At 46.9% G+C, this 19,090-nt stretch overlaps 1 protein-coding gene and 1 long non-coding RNA gene across 8 annotated transcripts in view, besides 1 other annotated feature; one reads left to right on the top strand and one right to left on the bottom strand.

The window, feature by feature from the left end:
- Nucleotides 1-19,090, top strand: part of VPS33B (VPS33B late endosome and lysosome associated) — a 24,206-nt gene extending 5,116 nt beyond the window's left edge. For 2 of the 7 annotated variants that reach the window (XM_005254887.2, NM_001289149.1), the window contains 20 exons: nt 3,073-3,122; nt 3,635-3,702; nt 7,660-7,705; nt 9,542-9,636; nt 9,933-10,037; nt 10,460-10,556; nt 10,777-10,854; nt 11,061-11,134; nt 11,447-11,533; nt 11,722-11,812; nt 12,052-12,126; nt 12,387-12,451; nt 12,575-12,629; nt 14,375-14,421; nt 15,324-15,456; nt 16,044-16,117; nt 16,915-17,016; nt 17,531-17,606; nt 17,713-17,829; nt 18,452-19,090. In XM_005254887.2, the coding sequence (XP_005254944.1) occupies nt 3,107-3,122; nt 3,635-3,702; nt 7,660-7,705; nt 9,542-9,636; nt 9,933-10,037; nt 10,460-10,556; nt 10,777-10,854; nt 11,061-11,134; nt 11,447-11,533; nt 11,722-11,812; nt 12,052-12,126; nt 12,387-12,451; nt 12,575-12,629; nt 14,375-14,421; nt 15,324-15,456; nt 16,044-16,117; nt 16,915-17,016; nt 17,531-17,606; nt 17,713-17,829; nt 18,452-18,531 (1,581 nt within the window). In that variant the 5' untranslated portion in view covers nt 3,073-3,106 and the 3' untranslated portion in view covers nt 18,532-19,090. Of the gene's footprint in view, nt 1-441; nt 544-3,072; nt 3,123-3,634; nt 3,703-7,659; nt 7,722-8,529; nt 8,603-9,541; nt 9,637-9,932; nt 10,038-10,459; nt 10,557-10,776; nt 10,855-11,060; nt 11,135-11,446; nt 11,534-11,721; nt 11,813-12,051; nt 12,127-12,224; nt 12,452-12,574; nt 12,630-14,374; nt 14,422-15,323; nt 15,457-16,043; nt 16,118-16,914; nt 17,017-17,530; nt 17,607-17,712; nt 17,830-18,451 lie in introns of those variants that run through there. The other 5 variants (NM_001289148.1, XM_047432383.1, NM_018668.5 and 2 more) reach the window with 5 other exon arrangements.
- Nucleotides 3,836-6,952, bottom strand: LOC105370970 (uncharacterized). Its single transcript, XR_932611.3, has 2 exons — nt 6,337-6,952; nt 3,836-5,072 (listed from the first exon to the last, which is right to left on the bottom strand). It is a non-coding gene; the product is annotated as an uncharacterized LOC105370970 (long non-coding RNA).
- Nucleotides 12,762-12,924: a silencer, noted in NCBI's record as "fragment chr15:91547812-91547974 (GRCh37/hg19 assembly coordinates)". NCBI's record gives its function as "represses an EF-1alpha promoter that drives an FKBP-Casp9 reporter gene in an ReSE screen in HepG2 liver carcinoma cells {active_cell/tissue: HepG2}" and the evidence as "EXISTENCE:reporter gene assay evidence [ECO:0000049][PMID:32094911]".

Below are 19,090 nucleotides of genomic sequence, written 5' to 3'. Positions count from 1 at the left end.
GACCACAGGCATGTGCCACCACACCTGGTTAATTTTTAAATTTAAATTTATTATTTATTTTTCTGAGTCTGTTTACTACAGAATATATATATATATATATATATATATATATATATATATATATATATATATATATATTTAATTTTGTAGAGATGGAGTCTTGTTATGTTACCCAGGCTGATCTCAAACTCCTGGGTTCAAGTGATCCTCCTACCTTGGCCTCCCAACGTGCTGGGATTACAGGCATGAGCCACCACACCTGGCCCATACTGTTTTTATATTGTTTTATTTTAGGTTTTTCTATTGACAGTTTGAGGAAAATTCAGTGGGATGGTCGTCAGGGGAGCATAATTAGCATAATTAGGAAGCCCTCAATAATTAGCATAATTAGGAAGCCCTCAAGAAGTCCCCTATCTTCGTGTCACACTTTGTGCTTTTCAGGCACTCTTATGTCCATTGTCTTATTGGATTCTCTCTGTAGCAACACGAAGTAGACAAGCTATACAAGGTGGAGAACAAGCCAGCCCTCAGCTCCAATGAACAGTGAGTGTCTGGGAGAGTCTGTCCCTACTCCAAGCTGGAAGAGGTCCCTAGGGGCACGTCTGCCTTTCATCTGTCCTTGGCTGAGATATATGGTTCACCTCCCTGAACTTTACAATTTCATGGCTAGGTTAATCTTCTGTTGTTTTGTTTTGTTTTCTGTAGTTTCCTTTCTGTGGTTTCTTGTCCTCTTCCCTCTCTAATTTATAATACAGTCTATAACCAGATTGACTAATCTTTCAAAATTATTTTCATCGTGCTTTTCTCAAGAACCTGCAAGGCAGCTGGGTGCGGCGGCTCATGCCTGTAATCCCAGCACTTTGGGAGGCCGAGGCGGGCGGATCTTCTGAGGTCAGGAGATAGAGACCAGCCTAGCTATCATGGTGAAACCCCATCTCTACTAAAAATACGAAAATTAGCCAGGTGTGGTGGCGTGTGCCTGTAATCCCAGCTACTCAGGAGGCTGAGCCAGGCGAATCGCTTGAACCCGGGAGGCGATGAGTTGCAGTGAGCCAAGATCGCGCCACTGCAGTCCAGCCTGGGTGACAGAGCAAGACTCCATCTCAAAAAAAAAAAAAAAAAAAAAAAAAGAAGAATCTGCAAGGCCTCTTATTACTTGCTGAAGATTGTCCACATTATTTGTCATAGACTTCAAGGCTGTCTGCAGCGTGGCCTCCCACGTTACCTTTCCAGCCTTGTCTCGTGTGTCCCCTTCAAGCCTCTGTTGACATGTGCTTCCACCTGCCTCTCAGCCTGTGCCTTCACCCTTTTCATCACTCCATTCGCTCTGCCTGAAATTCTCTCCTGTCCTCACTGCTCCTATAAAGAATGTCCATCCTTCAGAGCCCGGCCACCTCCTCCATGAAGCTCTCTGTTGCCCTTCCAGTCTAGAGTGATTTTCTCCTCTGGATTTCCATGGCATTTTGTATTTGTCCTGTTCGCTCGGCATGTAGTCATGTACAGCTGTTGTCTTGATTTTAAAGTATTTCTGAAACTTAATTAATGTACATGCTTTCTTAGAAGAAAAAATTCTCCTGGATACATGGAGAATATATCCATGTACCCCAGTTTGAAAAAAAATATTTTCTATTACTTTCTTATATTTAAATTTTTTTAATTAAATTTATTTATTTTCAGAGACAGGGTCTCACTCTGTTGCACAGGCTGGAGTGCAGTGGTGCAATCATAGCTCACTGCAGCCTTGAGCTCCTGGCTCAAGGGATCCTCCTACCTCAGTCTCCTGAGTAACTGGGATTACAAGTGTGCAGCACTGCATCCGCCTATAGTTTTATTTTATTTTATTTTTTTGAGTAGGAGTCTAACTCTGTCACCCAGGTTGGAGTGCAGTGGCGGGATCTGCCTCCCAGGTTCAAGCAATTCTTCTTAGCCTCCCAAGTAGCTGTGATTACAGGCGCCTGCCACCTTGCCCAGCTAATTTTTGTATTTTTAGTAGAGATGGAGTTTCTCTATGTTGGCCAGGCTGGTCTTGAACTCTTGACCTCAGGTGATCCGCACTCCTTGGCCTCCCAAAATGCTGGGATTATAGGCATGCACCACCTCGCCAGGCCTTATAGTTCTTTTATTTTACTATTATTATTTATTATTATTTTATTTTATTTTATTTTTTTTGAGACGGAGTTTAGCTCTTGTCATCCAGGCTGGAGAGCAATGGCGCGATCTGGGCTCACTGTAACCTCCACCTCCTGGGTTCAAGCGATTCTCCTGCCTCAGCCTCCTGCGTAGCTGGGATTACAGACATGCGCCACCATGCCCAGCCAATTTTTGTATTTTTAGTAGAGACGGGGTTTCACCATGTTGGCTGGGCTGGTCTCAAACTCCTGACCTCAGGTGATCCACCCGCCTCTGCCTCCCAAAGTGCTGGGATTACAGGTGTGAGCCACCATGCCCAGCCAATGTTTGTATTTTTAGTAGAGACGGGGTTTCACCATGTTGGCTGGGCTGGTCTCAAACTCCTGACCTCAGGTGATCCACGCGCCTCTGCCTCCCAAAGTGCTGGGATTACAGCACTATTATTATTTTTAATAGAGATGAGGTCTCACTGTGTTGCTGAGGCTAGTTTCGAACTCCTGAGCTCAAGCAATCTTCTCACCTTGGCTTCCCGGAGTGTTAAGATTACAGGTGTGAGCCACCATGCCCAGCCTTTATTTTTAACTGACAGATAATAATTGTATATTTTTATGGGGTATTCTTATATTGTTTTTCAGCACTGATTGTTAATATACTCCATATCTGCATCTTTTTTTGCCCACTGGATTGTAAATTATTTGAGAACAGGAACTTTTGGGTCCACCATAGGGCCAGTAATGTACCCAGCTCATCACATTATACCCATTGTGTTGAGAGGTATCTTCTGTGGTTGGTATATGGTGGACCAAGAGAATAGCATAGCTTTGGCTAGGATGAGACCTGTAGGGCAAATGGCAAAAGAGTTGGTATTGTTTCAGTTTCTTCTAAGTTGCTATCCAACTTGATAATTCTTCTTCACTGTTTTTTTTTCTTTCTCTCTCATAGATTGTGCTTCTTGGTCAGACCCCGCATCAAGAATATGCGATACATTGCCAGTGAGTGTGCCATGGTACTATGTGTAACTGTGGGAAAGGGCGGGCAAAATCTAAGGGCCTTGGCCATAAGGACCCTCTAATAAGAAAATAATTGTTTGAGTTGGCCGTAGCACTTGTGGAGGATGTCTGCTTCCCCGCTTCTTTTTTTTTTTTTTTTTTTTTTTGAGACGGAGTTTCACTCTTGTTGCCCAGTCTGGAGTGCAATGGCACGATCTCGGCTCACTGCAACCTCCGCCTCCTGGGTTCAAGCGATTCTCTTGCCTTAGCCTCCCAAGTAGCTGGGATTACAGGTGCCCACCACCAGATCGGGCTAATTTTTTGTGTTTTTAGTAGAGACAGAGTTTCACCATGTTGGCCAGGCTGGTCGCAAACTCCTGACCTCAGGTGATCCACCCGCCTCAGCCTCCCAAGTGCTGGGATTACAGGCGTGAACCACTGTGCCCGGCAGCTTCCCTGTTTCTAGCATAACAGATGGCCCATGACTTGCTGGGCTGCATTCCTTCTCTCTGTAGGTCTTGTCAATGCTGACAAATTGGCTGGCCGAACTCGCAAATACAAAGTGATCTTCAGCCCTCAAAAGGTGAGTTTGGATCCTGGAGGAAGTGGGATAAGGTAGAACAGGACTGAGGACCGGGCAGGGGTAAGGGGCCAACAGCACTACCTCCCTGTCTCCGTTCGTTTTCTGTTGCTGTAACAGAATACCTGAGACTAGGTAATTTATAATGAACAGAAATTTATTTAGCTCATGGTCTGGGGAGGTTGTGAAATCCAAGACTGTGGGGCTGGCATCTGGCGAGGGTCATCCCATGGCAGAAGGGTGGAAGGTGGAAGCCAGCACATGAGACCAAGAGACACCCAGGGGCTGGACTCGCCTTATAGCAACCCACTCCTGCCATAAGGACATTAATCCATTCATGAGGACTCCTCCCTCATAACCCAATCACCTGTTATTAGGCTGCACCTCCCAACACTGTTGCACTGCAGATTCAGTTTCCAACAGATGAACTTTTGGGAGACACATTCAAACCATAGCACTCCCTCAAAGCAAATTATGTGTGATTGAACCTAATACCTGTCACTAACGCATCCTCAATTCATTAACATATCCTCATTTGTTTAGCAGAGGGTCTGTCATCATACTGTCCCAAATAAAGTATTGTGGAATTGTGCGAAGAGGCCTCTACGTAGATTTTTTTAAATGAAAAGCTTCACGCTTGCGAGGTAGAACCTGCTCTGTATCCCTAACACAAACTCTAGTATAGTAATGGTGCACAATGTTACGGCTTTCCAGTGACTTTCTCCCTGTATCCCTTTAAGAATAAATACGATAAATCATCACCCTCCCTCTTCCCATCCGCTATGCTTATAAGGATGTGGCTGGGCTGCCCCTGGGTTACTAGAACCATGCCACCATATATTGGAAAAGCCTTTTCTTGCACAGGAAAGGAACCTTAGAGACTGTTTTACTCCACCCCAACTTTGAGCAGCTGAGGGAACTGAAGCCCATGCTCACACAGTGAGTTAGCACAGCCAGAGTAGAGCTCTTCCATCTTTAACTCAATAATTGCAGTACATATTTGGAGGTCCATCATAGTCTGTCCATTTCTTGATTCCATTGAGCTCCCCTCTCACCTCCACATCAGCTACGTGCATCCTCAATCCCAGTGATTGGGAGGAATGACGTTCCAGGCCTTTACCTTGCCAACCATAGGCCTCTAAAGCTACAGCAAGTAGTGCATGCATACTTACAGAAGGTAGAAGCTAGACTAGGAAGAACAGGGATTTATTCCTTTTCAATCTTTCTAAGAAAATTCTAGAGAAAATAGAGGCAGTAACTAAGGACTGAAGCCTCTGAAACCAGGCTGTCTGGATAAAATCCACCCTTGAGGCCTTATTACCTGTGTGGTCTTGGGTTAGGTACTGAGCTGCTCCGTGTCTCGGTTTTCTCATCTGGAAGATAGAGTTGATAATAGTACTTATCTTTTAATTTAAGTGAGATGACTTTGAGTCTCTGTTGAAATAAGAAATCAAGTGGGACCCTAGGCTTATATTGTTTTCTCCTTCTGTAAAAGGAATAAGAGGAAAGAGCCAGTGACCTTCCTTTGAATGTCACCTGAACATTGATAGCACAATCTTACAAATATTTATCTTAGGATAATATGCTTAGGAATACAAACGTGAAGTATTATTACCAGGGCAAGAAATTATTGAGTAGGACAACCACTCAGAATTATAGGTACTTTTGAATGTTACTAAAGGAGTCATGGCAATAATTTCTAGTTCTTGGACTCTTACAAACCTTTTTTTTTTTTTTCTTTTCAAATTATGCTTCCAAGGACAGCTTTGGTGTTTTGTCTTGTCTTGTTTTGTTTTGTTTTGTTTTGTTTTGTTTTTGGAGACAGTGCATTGCTCTGTCACCCAGACTGGAGTGCAGTGCCGCAATCTCGACTCACTGCAACCTCCGCCTCCCAGGTTCAAGCAATTCTCCTGCCTCAGCTTCCCGAGTAGCTGGGACTACAGATGTGCACCACCGTGCGTGGCTAATTTTTTATATTTTTAAAAGAGGTGGGGTTTTGCCATATTGCCCAAGCTGGTCTCAAATTCCTGAGCTCAGGCAATCTGCCCACCTCTGCCTCCCAGAGTGCTAGGATTACAGGCATGAGCCACTGCGCCTGGCCAAGGACAGATTTGTATTAACAGGGAATAATCCTACAAGTTAAAATAATCCTACAAGCCTCTCTATTACACAGAAAAACAAAATAGTTATTTTTATGAGTGTTCTCCACTTAACACCTTATCTAATCAAATTCTTTGACCTAATTTTATATTAGGAGGCATCTCTCTCTCTTCTTTGAGACTCCTTTGTTAATTATGAAGATTGGCAGTTTTCAGACCTGGCTCTGGAATTCCATTACTTAGCATTAAAAGTTAAAAGCAGGCCTGAAGATTTCAGTTTTCCTGGCAGAAATGAGTGAGGGAGGAATAGGATTCTTCTGTGTAACAGTAAAATAAGGAGCACGTAGCATTGATCTACATCTCACAGAGCTAGTATGAAGATGAAGACAAGTGATTCCTGTAAAACACTAAGAACAATGCCTAAACCATTTTAAGGGCTTACAACATTAGCTGTTAATAATGTCAACTCATTATCAGATGTGAGTGCCCTCAGCATTCTTTCTCATTACTTTAAAATATTCACCCTTTCCCCACTTACCTCAAAGGAGGAAGAGATCGTGGCCTTTTCCCTCCTAAGATGAGCTGTTCCATGCCAGTTCTTGGCCCCATTTCTGCTTTCCTTCTCCATTATCTTGCTTTACCAGGTAGACTTTCTCTTCTGCCTTCACCCATGTCTATGCCTTCTAAACAATGTCTCCCATTTCATCTCTTTTCCCTTTCAGAGCTCCCCCTTCTTTCAGGGCCAGGCTTCTGTGAAGAATGTTCTATTGTCACTGCTTCTGCTTCCTCATCTCCACCTTCATCGTTTCATCTAGTCTCCCTCAGGTCTCCGTTGTCAAATCCACTGGTGTCTATTTAATGTTAATCCTACTTAACTTCCCTGGCATTTGACACTGTTGCCCACCCTTCCTTGCAACTCTCACCTTTCCTGCCTTGACTGTTGCTGTTTTCTCCTGCCCCTGCTTCTCTGAGTATTCTTTCTCAGTCTTCCCTGCCAGGTCCTGTACTCTGGCCCCCTTTCATCTTGTGTTCCCTAGAGTCCTGTCCTTAGCTCTCCTCTGCGTGTTCTTTTCTCTTGGACAGACCATCTACTTTATTTATTTATTTGAGACAGGGCCTCACTCTGTTGCCCAGGCTGGAGTGCAGTGGCACAATCTCAGCTCAGTGCAGCCTTGACCTCCTGGGCTCAAGTGATCCTCCCACCTCAGCCTCCTGAGTAACTGGACTACAGGCACACACCACCATGCCCAGCTAATTTTTGCATTGTTTTGTAGAGATGGGGTGTCACTATGTTGCCCAGACTGGTCTAGAACTTCTGGGCTCAAGCGATTCACCTGCCTCGGCCTTCCAAAGTTCTGGGATTATAGGAGTGAGCCAGTGCACCCAGCCACATCATCCACTTTAAATACAGCATATATGCTACTTAATCCCAAGTCCTTGTCTGTGTCTCCCAAGGTCCCGTGGGCATGTCCTAAACAGAACTCACTCTCCCTTGTACAGATCTTTTCCTCCCATCTGCTCCTCCACAATTTCCAGAGCACTTCATGCCATTGCTCTCATCTCTGTCTGTACAACTTACCTTTTGAAGACAGCTGAACTCCTTCTCCTTTGTAAACCTCTTCCATTCTCTCAGGGAGATAAGAAGCAATTTACTCAAACATAAATTAAATGGATGAGAAAGAACTGAAGTGCTGGGCTGAATGATTCTAATGGTTCTTTCTAGATCTTAAGAGTCTGGGTTCTCTTGTCTTTCACTGGGTTCGGCAATTATTGTCCTCATCAGTGACCACAGAGGAACTCCAGAGAAATGGAGAGAACAGAGAAGAAGGTAGTTACTAATCAATTTCCTTTTCTCTTTCAGTTCTATGCGTGTGAGATGGTGCTTGAGGAAGAGGGAATCTATGGAGGTGAGAGGAGATGAATGTGAGTGGAAAGGGAAAGAGAACATACAGAAGAAAAAACTGTTGTTGTTCTCCAACCCCCCCACCCCACCCCCACCACCAGCTCCTTCTTTTCCTGGTCTTATTCCTGTTAGTGTAGCAGGAGGAGAGGTTCCTGAGAATGGGAATGGGAATAGGACCACGAATTAGAACACTACTGGGGGCTGGGCGCAGTGGCTCATGCCTGTAATCCCAGCACTTTGGGAGGCCGAGGGGGTGGATCACCTGAGGTCAGGAGTTTGAGTCCAGCCTGGGCAACATGGTGAAACCCCATCTCTACTAAAAATACAATAATTAGCTGGGCGTGATGGCGCACGCTTGTAATCCCAGCTACTCGGGAGGCTGAGGCAGAAGAATTGCTTGAACCCGGGAGGCAGAGGTTGCAGTGAGCCGAGATCACGCCATTGCACTCCAGCCTGGGCAACAAGAGTGAGACTCAGAGAAAGGAAGGAAGGAAGAAAGAAAGAGAGAGAGAAAGAAAATAAAAGAAAAGAGAGAAAGAGAGAGAGGGAGGGAGGGAAAAGAAAGGATAAGAAAAGAACACTCCTGGGGTAGTATGAAAGGAACACCAGGGCTTAGAGTTGGAAATGACCAGCCACTCTTTTCTCACCTTCCAAGGCTCCCACAGGAAAAACTGGGCCTCCCCTCTGTGTATTCCTCCGCTATTCTCCACACAACCCAAACCTGATCACAGCCCTCCCTGCTGGAAATAGCAGCGGCTCAATATAAAGCCCAGAATCCCCAACATGCCTCCTATCCCTTGCACAGTCTGGCCCCTCCTGTCCCATTAGCCTCATCGTGTGCTGCTTCCTTCTCCTGACTCGCCACCCTCCAGCCAGAGAGACTTTACCCATGCTTTTCCAGGTACCCAGAACGTTCTCCACCCTATAGCTTTTTGCCTTCCCGAGTCTTACCCAAATTCTAAGCTTGATTTTCTCTTCTTGAGGGAAGTCTTTCCTATACCCCCAGTTGTGGTTACATCCCTTTAATATATGTGCTCACAGCTTGCTGTTTGACCTCTTTGGAGCACAACCGTGATTTAATAGTTTGTGTCATAATTTGTCTGGTGTGTCTCCCTCACTAGACTGTAAGCTCCAGAAGGTTGGGAGCATGTCCATTTTGCTCACTGCTGTATCTCTGGTGTTCATACAGTCCTACATGTAGGCAGCTTTCAGTAAATATATGCTGAATAATGAATGAGTGAGCTGGGCGTGGTGGCTCACACCTGTAATCCCAGCACTTTGAGAGGCCAAGGCAGGCAGATCACCAGAGGTCAGAAGTTTGAGACAAGCCTGGCCAACATGGCAAAACCCCGTCTCTGCCAAAAATACAAAAATTAGCTGGGCATGGTGGCGTGCACCTGTAATCCCAGCTACTTGGGAGGCTGAGGCAGGAGAATTGCTTGAACCCAGGAGGCGGAGGTTGCAGTGAGCCGAGACTGCACCATTGCACTCCAGCCTGGATGAAAATTGCTAAACTCCATCTCTAAATAAATAAATAAATAATGAATGAATGAATGTTTTCTCGGCACTTTTGGTCAGCCCTCTAGTAAAAACCCACCACTTATCACATTGTATTACAGGCTGCTGTGGACACATCTCCTTTCCTTATCAGACTGTGAGCTCCTTAAGGGCAGGGACTGTGTCTTATTCTTCTTTGAGCCTCCATTGCTTAATGCAGTACTGGCATGTGGCAGGCACTCATATATTTGTTGCACGCACTCAAATATTTGTGGCGGACCTTCCCTCTTAACGTGGAGCTAAGTACCTTCTGCAGGGAGGCTGATGCTCTCTGTCCCCACAGATGTGAGCTGTGATGAATGGGCCTTCTCTTTGCTGCCTCTTGATGTGGATCTGCTGAGCATGGAACTACCAGAATTTTTCAGGGATTACTTTCTGGTAAATGCAGAGGCCCTTGTGTCTTGGCATCAGGGGATGGGGACAAATGTGGGATGCAGAGGGCTAGAAATACCAATATAACCTTTGTCCAACGCAAGTAATTTATCACAAGTGATAGTGATGTGGTGATTGAGTGCTACAGATTGGTCTCTGTGGGACTTCCTGTGGAGCCAATGAAAACCTTTCAAGCATCCCCCAGGCCCTGCCACCCTGCTCCAGGGCTTCTAGGGCTAGCCACTTTCCAGGTGGTCCTACTGGGTTGATTCATATCTTTGTGGCTTGTGTGGTCCCTGCAGGAAGGAGATCAGCGTTGGATCAACACTGTAGCTCAGGCCTTACACCTTCTCAGCACTCTCTATGGACCCTTTCCAAACTGCTATGGAATTGGCAGGTGCGCCAAGGTAAGAGCACTAGCAGTACTGTTGTCCCAGCAGACGCTGTTTTCCCTGTTCTGTACCCTCCTGGGGTTATCCAAGGGCACCTGTGATATGAGGTGTATTCTTTACTTTGCTTTCATTGTTCTGGAATAGATCCTCAGAGAGGAGAACTTGTGTGGCTAACAGAGAAGCAAAAGCCAGGATCTCCTGGGTAGCATTCCTAAATCTCTTTTTATTTTGGGGACAGAGTAACACATCTTCTCATCAGTAGGAAGAGTGTTGGGGAAAGATAGACACAGACGGGAGTAGATAGGGCCATATTGTGAATAATTAGCTCCTGTCTCGGGGACAAGAGGAAGTATCACGTGGAAAGGGCTGACTTCTGTAGGTATGGGGCTGCAGTAGGGACCTGGACACAAGACTGAGAATGTCTTGGGCCCTGGCAGATGGCATATGAATTGTGGAGGAACCTGGAGGAGGAGGAGGATGGCGAAACCAAGGGCCGAAGGCCAGAGATTGGACATATCTTTCTCTTGGACAGAGGTAAATTATGCCCAGCGTTCCTGTCATCTTTCAGCCCTAGAAGACACGGGAATATGGAAGGCGTGGTGGCAAAGTTAAAATCCTAAAGTTAGGGCTGTGAATCCCAGCTTTGAGGAGCGTGGGTCCTTGGCCCTATGGAAAGTATCAAAGCTGCCCTTGGACATGCTGTGTAGAAGGCTGGGTCAGGGAGAACCTTCATGGTCAGGGATCTCTGTTTCAGATGTGGACTTTGTGACAGCACTTTGCTCCCAAGTGGTTTATGAGGGCCTAGTAGATGACACCTTCCGCATCAAGTGTGGTAAGTGCTATGGTCCTCTGCATCTTGGCAAGATGGACGGGTCATCAGCCTTGGCACCTCCCACGTGGGGCAGGGTTTGTGGGAGAGACCCAGACCCTGAATGAACTGCTGGCTTCCAAATAGTTTGAGGACCTTTATGGCAGTTCAGGGAATGGTAGGAGAAGTCCTCATTGGAGATCCTAATAGCTGTCCCTCTGCTCTCAAAGGGAGTGTCGACTTTGGCCCAGAAGTCACATCCTCTGACAAGAGCCTGAAGGTGCTACTCAATGCCGAGGACAAGGTGAGGGTGTGGGTGCTAGCAATGGGCCCACCTAGGGCCACTGCTTATACCAGGCTGTGGGCCCCCTGCTTATACCAGGCTGTGGGCCCCAGCTCTGAGAGGGGAGGCTGAGTCTATGGGAGAGAGGGTTTCCCCACCAGTTCAGAGCATCTCCTAGAACACGGTGTAGGCATTTGATATGGACTTACAGATCCCAGCTCAGCTTTCTTTGTATTTCTGCCAGAACACCTGAGTACCCTTCCTGTACTGTCATTCTACTGCTAAGTTATGGTTCTGACAGAGTAAGCTGTTCTTGTCTTACTGTCCTCACAGGTGTTTAATGAGATTCGGAACGAGCACTTCTCCAATGTCTTTGGCTTCTTGAGCCAGAAGGCCCGGAACTTGCAGGCCCAGTATGATGTGAGGCTCCAAGCCCTGCTCCTCTGTTTTGTTGCCTCAGTGGCTTCCCAAGGCTGCTGCCCTTGGGCTCCCCTTCTAATACTATGACAGGTTCCCTGTCCTTTCTCATGGATGGATGGCAACTGAGGGAGGGTGGTGGTTTCTCGTGTCTGAGGTTGGGGGGTTCACCTTTGGGAATTTTCCCACAGCGCCGGAGAGGCATGGACATTAAGCAGATGAAGAATTTCGTGTCCCAGGAGCTCAAGGGCCTGAAACAGGAGCACCGCCTGCTGAGTCTCCGTAGGTTTCAGCTTGAGGGGCGTGAGGGGAAGTGACTGTGTCCCTCTGGGGAAAGCTCCAGAGGACCATTACTCCCGAGGAGGAGATCCCTGTTCATCTGATGCATATGGTCTTACTTGGTGTAAAGTGGGAAGAAGTGCTTTCGGATTTTGCCTTAGGAGGTTTTTTATTCTTCCGGACAATAAAGGGACATCTTTCTAGAACCAGGAGTATGTCAGCTCCCTTTGTCCAACCTGCAGATATTGGGGCCTGTGAATCCATCATGAAGAAGAAAACCAAGCAGGATTTCCAGGAGCTAATCAAGACTGAGCATGGTAACTGCCGCAGCCTTGCTGTGCTACTGCCCACGCTTCTACTTCCCCAGCTCCCAGCCCCGTCCCACCCTTAAAAGATGTTCTCTGGCTCTTTCCAGCTGACACTGGCTATGTGGAATGCTGGTTCCTGCTAGAAGTCCTGGGGGTCCCTTAACCCACCCCAAGGATGGAGAAAGAGATGGGGAGACAGACACCTGTTAGCATAGATGGCAGCAGCTGAGCTGGCCCCCAGTAACAGGCTCTCCTCTGATTACTCACAGCACTGCTAGAGGGGTTCAACATCCGGGAGAGCACCAGCTACATTGAGGAACACATAGACCGGCAGGTGCGCAGGTGGAGGGCTGGGGGTGCCAAGAATGGCATTTAGAGGTGGGGTCGGCCTTAAGCAGAAGGAAAAGAACACGTGTTGTGAAGCTTCAATTCTCCTTGATTCTTTCTTCCTATGCAGGTGTCGCCTATAGAAAGCCTGCGCCTCATGTGCCTTTTGTCCATCACTGAGAATGGTGAGCCCAAAAGACTGAAGATGAGAATGTCAGATTGAGAAACTATGCCTTAGGGACAGAAGAAGTGATTTTGAAAGGCTAAGGCAAATGTCTTAGCAAACAGAATGTTTCCCTGTAATTTAATGGATTCTTTTTTGTTTGGGGTGAATTATCACCAGGACACAGGGTAATTTATTGCTTTAGCCCTCAGCGGGACCACATCCAGGCCACCCTAGAGCCTTGTCATATCTTAGGACTGCAGGGGTGCAGAGCTGAGTGGCATTTCTCTCATCACTCCATCTGTCCTTATTTTCAATAAGATAAAGATACATTCCAGGAAAAAGGGACAGCAAGTTAATTTCATGAACATTTATTTTATTTATTTATTTTTTTGAGACAAGAGTCTCGCTCTGTCACCCATGCTGGAGTACAGTGGTGCGATCTCGGCTCACCACAACCCCCACCTCCTGGGTTCAAGTGATTCTCCTGCCTCAGCCTCCTGAGTAGCTGGGACTACAGGTGTGCACCACCACGCCCAGCTAGTTTTCATGAACATTTCTAAAATTCCAGATTGTGCAACCTTCATGGCAACTTGTTTTTACTGTTGAAGTCTTCTAGTTGGTGAATATTCTTGAAGGTTGCCTTCTTTTTCTTTTTCTTCTTTTTTTTTTTTTTAAGACAGAGTCTTGCTCTGTTGCCTAGGCTGGAGTGCAATGGCACGATCTCGGCTCACTGCAACCTCCACCTCCCAGGTTGAAGCGATTTCTCACCTCAGCCTCTCAAGTAGCTGTGACTACAGATGCACGCTATCATACCCAGCTAATTTTTGTATTTTTAATAGAGACAGGGTTTTGTTATGTTGGCCAGGCTGGTCTGGAACTCCTGACCTCAGGTGATCCACCTGCCTCGGCTTCCCTAAGTTCTGGGATTACAGGAGTGAGCTACTGTGCCCGGCCAAAGGTTGCTTTCTACTCAGAGAAGTATTTGCTTATTCTAAATCTCATTTACTGCAGTTAGAATCCCAGTTATTATTACCTCTATGGAGAAAAACATATAAGACCGTGCTTTTGGAACTCATTTGAACACTTTTCCTATTTCTCAATAGTTGTGAAGCAGTTCCTAGTAGAACTGCCCCTTAGCCAGAAAGAAATGCATGAGTCTGCCAGGTGCGGTGGCTCATGCCTGTAATCCTAGCACTTTGGGAGGCCAAGGCAGGCGGATCTTGAGATCAGGAGTTGGAGACCAGCCTGACCAACATAGTGAAACCCTGTCTCTACTAAAAATACAAAAATTAGCCAGGTGTGGTGGCGCATGCCTGTAATCCCAGCTACTCAGGAGGCTGAGGCAGGAGAATGGCTTGAACCCGGGAGGCGGAGGTTGCAGTGAGCCAAGATCGCACCACTGCACTCCAGCCTGAGTGACAGAGCAAGACTCCATCTCTAAATAAATAAATAAATAAATGCATGAGTCGTCACTTCTCCTCCCTCCTGCTGCATCCTCCCCACATCCCACTACGATCACCGTTAGTTCCAGTGTCCCCTCCTCAGCACCCTTATGTTTCACAGCTCTTCTTGGGAGCTCCCAGACCAAGGCTTTATCTTTCAATAAGCAAGCTTAAATTTAGAACCAAATGTATACTCTGCAGGGTTAACATTTACTGAATCCTTCCTCCTGAAGAAGGCGTTCGTTGCTGGTTGATCTGTACATTTTAGGGTGCCTCTGCCGGCCTCTTTCTCATGCACCTGTCTTATTTTCTTCACTCTTAGGTTTGATCCCCAAGGATTACCGATCTCTGAAAACACAGTATCTGCAGGTAAGGCCTGGAGAATGTATTCTTGAGGGAACTTGATGGAGGGCAGTTATTGGGCATTTTTGAAAGAGGCAAGAGAAGTGGCCCCTTTCCTGCCTCCATTACCCTCCTGTTTCCATTCAGGCCTCCCTCTTAGAGCTACTAGGGAGAGTCACCTTTCAGCACGCCTCTCTGCCCTCTACCCTTGTTTCACCCCACACACTGACGGCGCATGGCCAGTGCTGAGAATTAAACATTTCAGTGCTGGCCCCAGTGTGAGTTCTTTCTCCTGGGAGTCTCCCTCATTTTAGCACCGTGTGAGGCATTGATTCAGCTTTCCTTCCTGGTACTTCTCAAGTCTTACTTCATCCAGGAAGCCTTTCCCATACATCCATGGGTCTCTAAAGTCTCATGCTGCTTTTTATTCTTCTTTGTTTGGTGCTAATTATTTCTTTTCTTTTTTTTTTTTTTTTTATTTCGAGACGATGTCTCGCTCTGTTGCCCAAGCTAGAGTGCAGTGGCGCGATCTCCACTCACTGCAGCCTCTGCCTCCTAGGTTCAAGCATTTCTGTGCCTCAGCCTCCTGAGGAGCTGAGACTACAGGCACGAGCCACCATGCCCATCTAATTTTTGTATTTTTAGTAGAGATGGGGTTTCACCATGTTGGCCAGGCTGGTCTCAAACTCCTGACCTCAAGTGATCTGCCTGCCCTGGCCTCCCAAACCCAAAGTGCTGGGATTACAGGCATGAGCCACCGCTCCCAGCCCTGTTTGGTTATTTCTGATGTGAAAATTTATCTCAACAAAGTGTGAGCTCCTTCACACTGCAGCAGAGGCTTCATAGTCCTTCTGCTCAACTCTGTAGTACCTGACAGTACTAGATGCTCTTTGGACACTCAGTAAATAGTCTAATTGCATCTTCTTCAGAGCTATGGCCCTGAGCACCTGCTAACCTTCTCCAATCTGCGAAGAGCTGGGCTCCTAACGGAGCAGGCCCCCGGGGACACCCTCACAGCCGTGGAGAGTAAAGTGAGCAAGCTGGTGACCGACAAGGCTGCAGGTAAGCAGGGAGCACAAGTGACCCCTGCTCCAGCTGTTGTCCTGACTTCTCTCAACACGCAGCATGCTGGGAGGGACAGAATGAATTGGAGAAGGTGGACTGATTCCTTCCTATTAATGTCATTACTATTATTACTACTACTTCTGCTAGTAAGAGCAGTTTCCACATAGTAAACACTTACCATGTGCTGAGCCCTTTAGTTTCTCATTTAATCTCACAAAGACTGTGAGATAAATTTTCTCATCCTCATTTTATGATGAAACTGAGGCTTAGAGAATTAAGTGATTTGTCCAAGGTCCCTTAGTTAGTAAGTTAGGTCGGTTTAACTCCCAAAGCACATACCAATAAACTCGGGTTACCCTGTGGATTGCATTTAGTAGAGAGCTGGTACCCCGTAGGAGGGGGAAGACTGTGGGTGGGGAGAAGGGTGGGGAGTATATCTTGATTAGTTCCAGGGAATTATAGTTGAACAGCTTCCGAGAGTTTTTGGATGTGATTGGTGCTGTCGTGTCCTGAATGGTGTTATCTGTGGCAGTGTCATGAATCCATAGACCTTAGGTGAAACCTGACACAGATTTCTTCCCCAGGAAAGATTACTGATGCCTTCAGTTCTCTGGCCAAGAGGAGCAATTTTCGTGCCATCAGCAAAAAGCTGAATTTGGTATGTGGAACAGGGATGGTTAGGGGAGACAGTGGGTTCATTCCATTGTGGAGTACTTTTCTTTTTTTTTTTTTTTTTTGAGATGGAATCTTGCTCTGTTGCCCAGGCTGGAGTGCAGTGGCACAATCTCAGCTCACTGCAACCTCTGCCTCCCAGGTTCAAGTGATTCTCCTGCCTCAGCCTCCCAAGGGATTACAGGCATGTGCCACCACGCCCAGCTAATTTTTGTATTTTTAGTAGAGACAAGGTTTCCCCATGTTGGCCAGGCTGGTCTTGAACTTCTGACCTCAGGTGATCCGCCCACCTCGGCCTCCCAAAGTGCTGGGATTACAGGCATGAGCCACTGCGCCCAGCCCATTGTGGAGTACTTTGAATCCACAAAAACCTTTTTGTCATTTCATGTGTATAAAGATTCTTTTGTTTGGTAGTCTTATAGCATGGTAGATTCATTCATTTAATCAACATGTAACAAGCACCTGCCAATGCCAGAGAATATTCTAAGTGCTGCTTCAGTGACAACCATATCCTGTGTCACTTAAGGGTAGGGAAAGGAGAAGCCATCCCTCCAGCCCCTTTACATTATTCAATAATGGCGCATGGGAACTCATTCCAGAGAACTGGCAGTTACTGAACAAAAACTGCCATCTTCCGTTATGGATTCTCTTTTCAGGGCTATTGCTGGTTCTCCCTTTAGTTGAAATAAGAATTGTTCCTTGGGCCATGCCACTTTATCTGACCCTTTAAAGGGTTAGGGAGCTGAGCTGTCACTTGCCTAATGAAGTCCCTTTGTCTTACAGATCCCACGTGTGGACGGCGAGTATGATCTGAAAGTGCCCCGAGACATGGCTTACGTCTTCGGTGGTGCTTATGTGCCCCTGAGCTGCCGAATCATTGAGCAGGTGAGAGCATGTAATTCTTGCTCCCATTCATATTTCATTCTCTCTGCTTTCTCTTGGTCCCTGGCGTGTCTCAATGTTTTTTTTTTTTTATTTGAGATGGAGTCTTGCTCTGTCACCCAGGCTGGAGTGCGGTGGCACGATCTTGGCTCACTGCAACCTCCACCTCCCAGATTCAAGTGATTCTCCTGCCTCAGCTTCCGAAGTAGCTGGGACTACAGGCATGTGCCACTGCACCCAGCTAATTTTTGTATTTTTAGTAGAGATGGGGTTTCATATAGACAGGGCCAACTATATGTTGACCAGGCTGGTCTCGAACTCCTGACCTCAGGTGATCCCCCCGCCTCAAACTCCTAAAGTGTTGGAATTACAGGCGTGAGCCACCACACCTGGCCCTGTCTCAACTTTTTGCTACTTGAGTAATGAGCAAGAAATGTGACAGTCTGGCTGCTGTGCCCTTCCTTTCCTAAGCCTGATACTGTCTGTAGCCTTAAAAACAGTGCTTACACCTTCCCAGGTGCTAGAGCGGCGAAGCTGGCAGGGCCTTGATGAGGTGGTACGGCTGCTCAACTGCAGTGACTTTGCATTCACAGGTATGTGGCATTAACAGTGGGGTAGGCTGGCAGTGAGAGGTGGGCTGGATGCACCACTCAGGACTAGCATGTCAGGGAAGGGCTGAATCTGGTCTGATCCTCACAGATATGACTAAGGAAGACAAGGCTTCCAGTGAGTCCCTGCGCCTCATCTTGGTGGTGTTCTTGGGTGGTTGTACATTCTCTGAGATCTCAGCCCTCCGGTTCCTGGGCAGAGAGAAAGGTAAGAGAGAGCAGAAAGGTGAGAATTGGCCTGCATTGTATCTGGGTAACAAAGTGTCAGCTGGGCACGGTGGTTCATACCTGTAATCTCAGCACTTTGGGAGGCGGAGGCGGGCAGATCACCTGAGGTCAGGAGTTAGAGCCTAGCCTGACCAACATGGTGAAACCCCATCTCTACGAAAAATACAAAAATTAGCCAGGCATGGTGGCCGGTGCCTGTAATGCTAACTACTCGGGAGGCTGAGGCAGGAGAATTGCTTGAACCCGGGAGGTGGAGGTTGCAGTGAGCTGAGATTGCACCATTGCACTCCAGCCTGGGCAACAATAGCAAAACTCCATCTCAAGAGAAAAAAAAAAAACACGCAAAGTGTCCTGCACAGGAATATTTTTCTCCTGGCCTCAGAATACAACTTGCCATAGCCTTAACTCTGGGCTGCCACAGCAGGGAGCCCAGTTATACCAGTCATAGAAAGCAGTGGTGCCCAAGAGCATGGCACTCACGTCTCTGTCTATAAACTGGTGCTGTGATCCCGTGGGGACTGTGGAACTGGAGAGGCTCTATGGGTTGCCGTTGGGGCCTAAGATCTGTGCTGTCTCTTCTGCTGCTGCATTTGACTCCTTAGGCTACAGGTTCATTTTCCTGACGACAGCAGTCACAAACAGCGCTCGCCTTATGGAGGCCATGAGTGAGGTGAAAGCCTGATGTTTTTCCCGGCCAGTGTTGACATCTTCCCTGAACACATTCCTCAGTGAGATGCAGGCATCTGGCACCCAGCTGCTATAACCAAGTGTCCACCAACTACCTGCTAAGAGCCGGGAGCATGGAACGTGTTGGGATTTAGAGAACATTATCTGAGAAAAGAGTTCACTTCCTGCTCCCAGGATATTTCTCTTTTCTGTTTATGAAGTACAACCCATGCTGCTAAGATGCGAGCAGGAAGAGGCATCCTTTGCTAAATCCTGTTTGAATGTCATTGTAAATAAAGCCTCTGCTCTCAGATGTAATACGTTGGTCGTTCTGGACACGCACTTCCATCTTTATTAGTGAAAGCCCATTGGAGCTTGCTACAGGGGCTTCCTGTGCTTCTTGGCCTGGACTTTGTAGTGGCTCCAGGCCTGGTCTGGTTCTTCCCTGTAAAAATCACTCTACCACTCTGTACCTGAGTTTCCTCTACCATAAAATGAGGGAGATGGCTGAGGTGACCAGCAAGCACGTTTCCAGTTCTAAAATGTTGTGATTCATTACATTTTTGAGAAAATGA

The sequence above is a fragment of the Homo sapiens genome, chromosome 15 (genome assembly GCF_000001405.40).
Source record: "Homo sapiens chromosome 15, GRCh38.p14 Primary Assembly".
Lineage (NCBI taxonomy): Eukaryota > Metazoa > Chordata > Mammalia > Primates > Hominidae > Homo > Homo sapiens.
The sequence above is the reverse complement of the archived record's forward strand: the minus strand, read 5'-3'. Positions and strand labels throughout refer to the sequence as shown.